Here is an 8,757-nt window from a genome sequence, read left to right on the forward strand (position 1 = left end):
GACAGAAATTTTATCTTCAGGACACAGGTCTGGTCTTAGGCTTATTACCACTCCTGGAAACCCTGTCCCCAAGACTTGATCCACAGCAGGAAGGAACAGTCAAGATTTGTCTGTGTGTTCTGAAAAGCCACTCTAGACACACCTCCGAAGAAGATGTCATTTGTGCACACTTCTGCATCAAGCTGTCAACTGCTGTTGGTGGAAGGGAAGAAATGAGGGGACCAACAGGCCATCACTTGGACTGCCAACACCAGTCACCACCCTACACCCTTCACAGCCCTGGGCAACACATATGCCAGTGAGGCTGCGAGTGGGAAAAAATAACAAAGGTGAAGCATCCTGACTCTACCCAGTAGACAAAGTAGAAGACGCTTCTCGTCACCGCCCTAACACCAACAGGACACAGAATCCAGGATGAGCTCTGACCCCAGATGAGCATGCTCGGGGATTCTTCACCTGCAGTGACCGCCACTGGCCTCACCAATCCAGCACAAGTCTTTGTGATCTTTCAGGACACCACAAAAGAGGCATTTCACATCACAGAACGGTAAAACTCCAATTACTCAGGAGTTCCTGGTCTATTTTGTCATTTTTTACCCTCTTATTCCTTTTCATATTTAGTTATTTCACCGTTCGATAGAAGTTCTGCCAGAAAGCACACAGATTCCTGAAGGGGAGGGTGATGTAAAATTAATATCAATTCATTTGCCTATTGTGTGACAGCTCTGATGAGCTGACTGGAGACAGCACTGGCTGGAATCGTTTCCTGGAAGAAAGTTTGAAGATTATCTGTAAACTCAAATTATCTCCTCTACCTCTTTTCCCCTTTAACAGAGACGCAATCACAAAATTAGAGAATTCTAGAGCTGAAAGAGGATTCAGACATCATTTTGTCCAATAATTAAGAGCTGAAGATATTTTCATATATCACCACATTCAAAAAAGTAATGTAGCAATGAGTAAGTACCAAGTGTTCAAAAAGTTTCCATCCTCTGCTCCAGTAATTCTCTAAGAATTTACGCTAAAGCAGTTGCCTAAAAAACTACAACAAAAATGCACATAAAAATGCTCATTGCAGCCTTACTTATTAATCATTTTTTTTTTCTTATTTTGGAGACAGGGACTCTGTTGCCCAGGCTGGAATGCAGTGGCACAATCATGGCTGACTTCAGCCTCAACCCCCTGGGTTCAAGCGATCCTCCCACCTCAACCTCTTGAGTAGCTGGGACTACACGTGTATGCCACCATGCCTGGCTAATTTTTCTATTTTTTTGTAGAGATGGGGTTTGCCACGTTGCCCAGGCTAGCCTCAAACTCCTGGGCTCAAGCGATCCGCCCACCTCGGCCTCCCAAAGTGCTGGAATTACAGGCATAAGCCACTGCACCCAGCCCCAACATTATTTATTAAGCACTAAATTGTAGTGGTTAAGCAAATTAGGGTACATACACTCAAAGGAATATTATGTGTTTGTTGAAAATTGTATTTAAAAATATTTAAACCTAATTAAATATTTATTTAAACTTAATGTTAAGTAAAAAAATAAGGAGTGTATAAAAATTATATAGAGTATATATATATATATATATATATATTTTTTTTTGAGATGGAATCTCACTCTATCACCCAGGCTGGAGTGCAGTGGTGCAATCTTGGCTCACTGCAACTTCTGCTGCCTGGGTTCAAGCGATTCTCCTGCCTCGGCCTCTTAAGTAGCTGGGATTACAGGTGCCTACCACCTTGCCCGGCTAATTTTTATATTTTTAGTAGAGATGGGGTTTCACCATGTTGGCCAGGCTGGTCTTGAACTCCTGACCTTGTAATCCACCAGCCTCGGCCTCCCAAAGTGCTGGGATTACAGGCATGAGCCACCACGCCCGGCCTACAGTATATTTTCAGTTTCGTTATTAAAAATCAGATGCAGAGAAATAAAAGGCTACAAACCAAGTGTCAACGGGAATTAACACATGATGGTAGAATTTTTTATTTTTAAATTTTCTTCTTCATCCCTTTCTATATTTTATACCGTACTGTAACAATACATCTGTCTGACCCCATTTTTTATGTCTGACTGCTCTCAGCTTCTGAGACCCCACTCCTCCTTCTCTTTCTTTTGCACATCTGGACAAGCTGATAAGAGATTCCAGGTGCTCTGTCCATGGTGTCAGTGAAAGCTCAAACCACATAAGCCCATCCCCCATGCAGGGACCAATGCCCATCTCCATTCACTAATCACAATAAAAGCTGAGCCCATCTCCTTATCCCCTTCTCTGTGGCCATTTTTGGACCAGCTTTAGAGACTGTCCTGCTTTCCCCAGAAAGCATCATTATGTGAATGACAAAAATTTTCACACCTTCTTGATGGGTATGTGGCATCATCAGTTCAACACCAAACCACATTTGGGGTAGGTGATCCACCCCACTTATGCTGAGTGGCCACAACATGTACAGTAAGCATGTCTTACTTTTATACTATACCGCAAAATTATTTTTAAAAGGTTAAGCTATAATGTGTCACGTCAGGCCTGCAGAATTTTGTTCATTTTAAGAAAGGATATGTTTTTAAGATGACAAGCAAAGAAACAGGAGAATTCATTATAAAGTATCTGGACTCAAGGCAATACTTGCATTAAAGAAGAATCATCGACCAGGCATGGTGGCTGATGTGTGTAATCTCAGCACTTTGGGAGACCGAGGTGGGTGGACCACTTGAGGTTAGGAGTCTGAGACCAGCCTGGCCAACACGGTGAAACACTGTCTCTACTAAAAATACAAAAATTAGCTGGGCGTGGTGGTGGGTGCCTGTAATCCCAGCTACTCAGGGGGCTGAGGCAGGAGAATCACCTGAACCTGGGAGGCAGAGGTTGCAATGGGCCAAGATCACGCCACTGCACTCCAGCATGGGCGACAGAGACTCTGTGTCAAAAAAAAAAAAAAAAAGGATCATCCTTTCCGAGACTAATTATAGAATATACCCAAGGAAACATACCTGGACTCGGAAATTGGTCTTCTATGAGTACATCGCCAAGGGTGAGGGATAAAAACTGGTACTTGGGTCTCTGCCAGCACCAGAATCTCTTCTTTTTTGTCACCAGACTTAGAAGCTGTAACTTATCAGAGTCATTCAGATTTGATACTGCAATCAGGTCACCATCAGCATCAACTTCTCTAAGAAAATTCCTGGTTGCTTTGGCAAACATTTTGAAAGCTCCAGATTATCTGAAAAAGTAAAGTTATCCTAAAATCAAATAAGAAGTTACTATTTTGTGGCTTTTTTCCCTAAAATTACTGTATTTCTCCCTATTCACAACAGTTCACATGAAAGAATATCTTCTTCCTAGAAGACCCTCTAGTTTGACTTTAGCTGATAATAAAGAACTCAAATAGAGATATTGAAAGAACATATATATACCAGTCTGGATATGCTAGGTTACGCTTCAGAAACAATCCCTAAGTCTTAGTGGTTTATTACAATAAGGGTTTATTTGTTGCTCATACTACATGCACAATACAGGGGTACAAGAGAGTTTTGTTTATTATGGTTATTCAGGGATCCAGACTGAAGGGAAAGCCAGCATCTTGAACACTGTCAATCATTATCCAACAGGAAAGAGTTTTGGAAGGTCTCACACCAGCAATTAAATGATCTGGCCCCAAAGTGACACAAGGCAGATCGTTTATAACTTGTCAGAACTAGTCACATGGCTTCAACCAACAATAAGGGCCAGAAAATACAATTTTATCAAGAATCCAGAAGGCAGACTGGGCATGGTGGGTGACACCTGTAATCCCAGCATTTTGGGAGGCCAAGGTGGGAGGATTGCTTGAGTCCAGGAATTGGAGACCAGCCTGGGCAACATAGCAAAACTCCAAATTAAAAATTAAAAAATTAGCTGGGTGTGGTGGCGCACAGCTGTAGTCCCAGCTACTTGGGAGGCTGAGGTGGGAGGATTGCTTGAGCCCAGGAGTTCAAAACTGCAGTGAGCCATGATCACGTCACCATACTCCAGTCTGGGTGACAGTGCAAGATTTTGTCTCAAAAAGGCAGAGAGCTGGGAATATTTGTTGAACAACAACCTACTGACTATCATAATAGATAGCTTACTTATGACTACTTATTTGAAGGGTCAAAGGTGCTTTTTCTCTACACTGTGTGATTTCTCATATTCAGATAATGAAAAGTAAGTAGCTATGGCTTTTTAACCCAGAAAATAAAGGCACAGTCATACTTTAGCAGGAGGAGAAAAGAAGAGATACATTGGAAGATATAAAAAGGAAAATATTACACTCAAGAGAAGCAGTATAGACTATTTAATAAATGCTGTTGGAACAATGGGCTAACTATCTGGAAAGAAAAAAACTGAATTCCTCTCCCATACCATAAATAAAGCAAATTCCCAATGAAATCAAGAGGTTTCTTTGAGGAAAAATGAAACTGTGAAAGTACTAGAAAAAATAGAGAAATATTTGTACAATCGCAGGATGAGAAGGGCCTTTAGAAAGACAAAGGGCAAACTGAGAAAATAATTGTAATATTTATGAGAGGGAACAAAAATGCTTAACATATTTTTTAAAAACTTTCATAAATCAAGTTTTAAAATACTGTACTCCAAGAGAAACATAGGCAATGGTTCTAAACCATTCACAATACACAAATTGCACATAGCCCAATATATATATACACGCATGTATAATAAGTTACCACATACAAAAAGAAGAAAATAACATTTTTACAAACTATCCATGGTCAAAATGAAAAGCTCTAATGCACAAGAACTGCTTTTTATTTTTGCTTGCACCCTGGCGCTTGGCACAGTTGCACAGTCACACAGCTCTTAGGATTTAAGAGATGAGAATAAGCTCAGACTTTAGCTCAATCCACCTTAACATGAATCTCTTTCGGGGCATGGGAAATCATTTGTCTTATCGATCACTGGTTCTTTTGTACAGTATCTTTTCTTAGATTATTATGAAGCAGTAGCTACCTGACCCTGTTCTTGTATATTAACACTAGGAATGAACATTTAAGGAAAAAATTCTAAAATATGCAAGGAAGTTCCTTTCTGATAAGGTGAACTGCAAAGCAGCATGACTAAGGATGCTCAGGCTGTCATCTGTAATTTATCTGTCACTATGCTATGCATAAGAATCTTGCATTCAATGGAATACTCATTTATTTATTTACCAAATCATCAACTGAATCATTCACTAATTTTTCTTGAGTACCTACTATACTACTGTGTTGAAGCACTTAGGATACAGAAACAAAAAATAATTTCTCTCCTCAATGAGCTACTAGTTTGGTGGCCAGATGGAGAAATAAACAGCTTAGTTTTATGTTAGCTACTGGCAGAGATTGTTCCAGGGAAAGAACCAAGAAAAAGGCATCTAAATCTCATTGGAGAGAGGCATACTGTCACAGAAGTCCTCCTGAAGTCGATGACATCCAAGCTGCATTGTGTAGGCTAAGTAGAAGTAAGCCAGGCAAAGGAGCACTATATGGATGCTGTAGCTGAGGAGCAGCCATTATGAAAGCACAAAATTTGCAGGAGGTGATGGAGGGATGGGGAAGACAGTGCCAAGCAAATGGGTTACCAGTGAGCTTGAGATGGCCCAGGAGACATTGTGTTGTATTGATCTGCCATCCACCACTTTGACAGACTGGAAAGACTGGTCAAGCTCTGAGCTTGACTCTTGCACTGGAATGCAGCATTCCAGAGTGGAGAAGGGCCAGAGACAAAGCTGGGGAGGCCCCCAATCCATGTCCTGCCTCTCCTGCAGGGCAGCCAGGGAAGCAGGTGCCACTGGAGGATCTGTGATCAGAATGATCCCTTAGAAAAATCTTCTAGAAGCAAAATAGCAAAGGGACTGCAGGGGAACAAGATTAGAGATGGACAAAGATGACAACGCTCTGGACTATGTCAGTGGCATAAGGATAGAAAAGACACTCGCTTGGTGAAGGGTGGTGATGAAAGAAAGAAGGCTCCCTGGGGTGTCATGCTGGTATCCCAGGTGCAGGCTGGGAGATGAGAAGGAAAAGCCAGTTACCAAGAGAGGGAATTTGAAAGGAACAGATTTACTTTGCCAAACATGGGACTGGGTCTCCCTGAGGGCCTGTGAGAACTCGTCCTGCTAGTCCAGGAAAAGAGCCACAGAACAACTGCTTTAGTTTACCACTGCTGTCAGGATCTCCACTGTTATGGCTTCTAATTCTTTTCTGGGACAAGCTGAAAGGGAGTTCACTCACGCACTTGCCTTCAGATCACACAGGTTTCTGTAGAAACCAAATCAGGCTTGCCATTAAAAAACAAAATAAAACCCATCTGCTGTGGGTGGGAAAACCTTAGTAAAGACACCAATCCTCCCCCACAGGGATTAGACGGTAAAAAAGAGGAAATTCCTAAATTAATTTTTCATGTTTTTTTTTTTTCCATCTAACATCAAACAGCTAATTTGCCTTCTTGGCAGGGTAGGGTGCTTTAAGGAGAGTAACTGGAGGTGGCTATTTATTGCTTTGTTTATTAGACTCAGACTTTTTAATCATGGGACTCAGAATATTCTCCTGGTGAAGTTAAAGTTGGAGGTTTCTTTATTACTATTACATGTGAATTATACTTACACGGTTCAAAAATCTAAATGATGTAAAGGATACACATTGAGAAATCCCATTCCTGCCCAGGCCCCAGCAACCCTTTCACTCCTCTCCCCTTCAGCCATATTTCCTTCATATTTCTTTATAGAGGTGTAGTTAAAAGGAGTCTGAACACTGCTCAGCATCTTGCTTTCTGCCACATACTCCCTTATGCAGATGTATCATTGCGCATTTTACTTGTCCCATGTTGCTGACCACTTGGGTTATTTCTAAATTTGTGTTATATTAAAGCTGTCCCCAGGAAATACCCCATACGGATGTCCTCTTCATAAACAAACAAATGTATCTGAAGGGTAGATCCCTAGAAAAGAGATTGCTAGAACAATGGGTAAATGCATCTGTAATTGTAGGAGTTGTGCTATTCTGCAGTCTGACCAATAATGTACAAAAGTATCCATCTTAGCAACAGTGTATCATTAGACTTTTGGATTTTTGCAAGTCTGATAGGTGAGAAATGGAATCTCAGCCTAGTTTTAGGTTGTGTTATTTTAAAACAAATAAAATCAAGCATCTTTTATTTTGTTGAAAGACTTTCTGTATTTAACTGTATCCTTTGCTCATTTTCTATTCTTGCTTTTTTTGGCTTTATTTCCAGGAATGTTTGATATAATAAATCTACCAAAATATAGGCTAGGAACAACAGAGTTTATCATGCAGCATTAGGGGACAATACACTGCCACCATCATTCTCAAACACATAAGATAACTAGTCAGCCAGGAAAGATTAAAGAGTATGGCCAGGTCCAAATGAATGAAGGATCTAGAACTCAAGTTGCCCGACACAGACAAGCACAGTCATGTCTCAGCCAAAAGTCAGACTCTGGATTAACATTTTCACAATGCTCCAATTTGGGAGAAGATGAAAATGGCCTCAGGAGGCATCATGCTCAAATAGCTCATGGCCTAAAAACTCACTGCACTTCACAGTTGTTACATAGATCACGGACTCTCGCACAGAGCCTTAAAAGTTATATTAGCAGCCGGGCCTGGTGGCTCATGCCTGTAATCCCAGCACTTTGGGAGGCCGAGGTGGGGCGGATCACCTAGGTCAGGAGTTTGAAACCAGCCTGGCCCAACATGGTGAAACCCGGTCTGTACTAAAAATACAAAAATTAGCCAGACATGGTGGCAGGCAGTAATCCCAGCTACTCGGGAGGCTGAGGCAGGAGAATCACTTGAACCTGGGAGGCAGAGGTTGCAGTGAGCCAAGATCCTGCCATTGCACTCCAGCCTGGGCAACAAGAGCGAAACTTTGTCTCAAAAAAAAAAAAAAAAAGTTGTATTAGCAAACAGTCCTTAGTCTGGCTTCCCAGCTGAAAGCAGATGAGAACTAAAAAGGCCAAAGCAAATGCAGTAAGGATATCCTAGCTTGAGTCAGACTCTTGGACAAGAGACCTTGTGGGGCAGACACCAAGAAAGCAGGACAATGACACAAAGTTAGCAAAGCACACAGCCAACTGGAGCCACTGGGAACAAAGAATCTTAAAAATAGTTGCCAAGGTAATGACTGCAGGAGAAGATAACTATATTCACTACTGCCTGTTAAGACTGATTCAGTCATGGAGTTATCTAGTTTTTAAATTAGAAGAGAAACCTCATTCTTTCTCACACTCCATTCAGGATTCTTCTTAAAAGCAGCTCTGGTTGAACCCTGGGCCTCTGCCTGAAGAGTTCTAGAAAAGAAACTTCAACATCAAATACTCTAGACAAAGAGAGGAGCAACTGTTTGTTGAGTATCTGCTATGTTCCAGGCATGGGTCTTACTGCCTTATACACATTTCCTTATTTAATCTTCATAATAACTCTTTGAAGTAGGCAGTGTGAGGAAGCTGAGGTTCAAAGATGTTAAGTAACTTGCCCAAGATCACAGCAAAGAAAGAAGCAGCCCTATCAGGGAACTGGCCTGGAACTATCAGGCCCTGGTGTTGCTGACCATGAATAATGGCACAGAGCATCAACATCAGGCAAGGCCAGTCTTGTCATGATAAATCAACATGAAAACAAGGCTTCTCTGTAATCATGCCTGAACACAGACAAAACATGAACACGTTCAAAGCACAAAAATGATCAAATACCACCCCCCTTCCAATCATTAGCAGTCCTAATG

General features: G+C 41.4%; 1 protein-coding gene across 5 annotated transcripts in view; it reads right to left on the minus strand.

Moving 5' to 3' along the window:
- GSDME (gasdermin E) overlaps positions 1-8,757 on the minus strand; it is a 97,185-nt gene that overhangs the window by 48,222 nt on the left and 40,206 nt on the right. For 3 of the 5 annotated variants that reach the window (XM_024446670.2, NM_004403.3, NM_001127453.2), the window contains one exon: positions 2,988-3,217. The exons of the other annotated variants lie outside the window; for them this stretch is intronic. In XM_024446670.2, the coding sequence (XP_024302438.1) occupies positions 2,988-3,198 (211 nt within the window). In that variant the 5' untranslated portion in view covers positions 3,199-3,217. The remainder of the gene's footprint in view (positions 1-2,987; positions 3,218-8,757) is intronic. 5 annotated transcript variants of the gene reach the window in all.

Source organism: Homo sapiens, chromosome 7 (genome assembly GCF_000001405.40).
Source record: "Homo sapiens chromosome 7, GRCh38.p14 Primary Assembly".
NCBI lineage: Eukaryota > Metazoa > Chordata > Mammalia > Primates > Hominidae > Homo > Homo sapiens.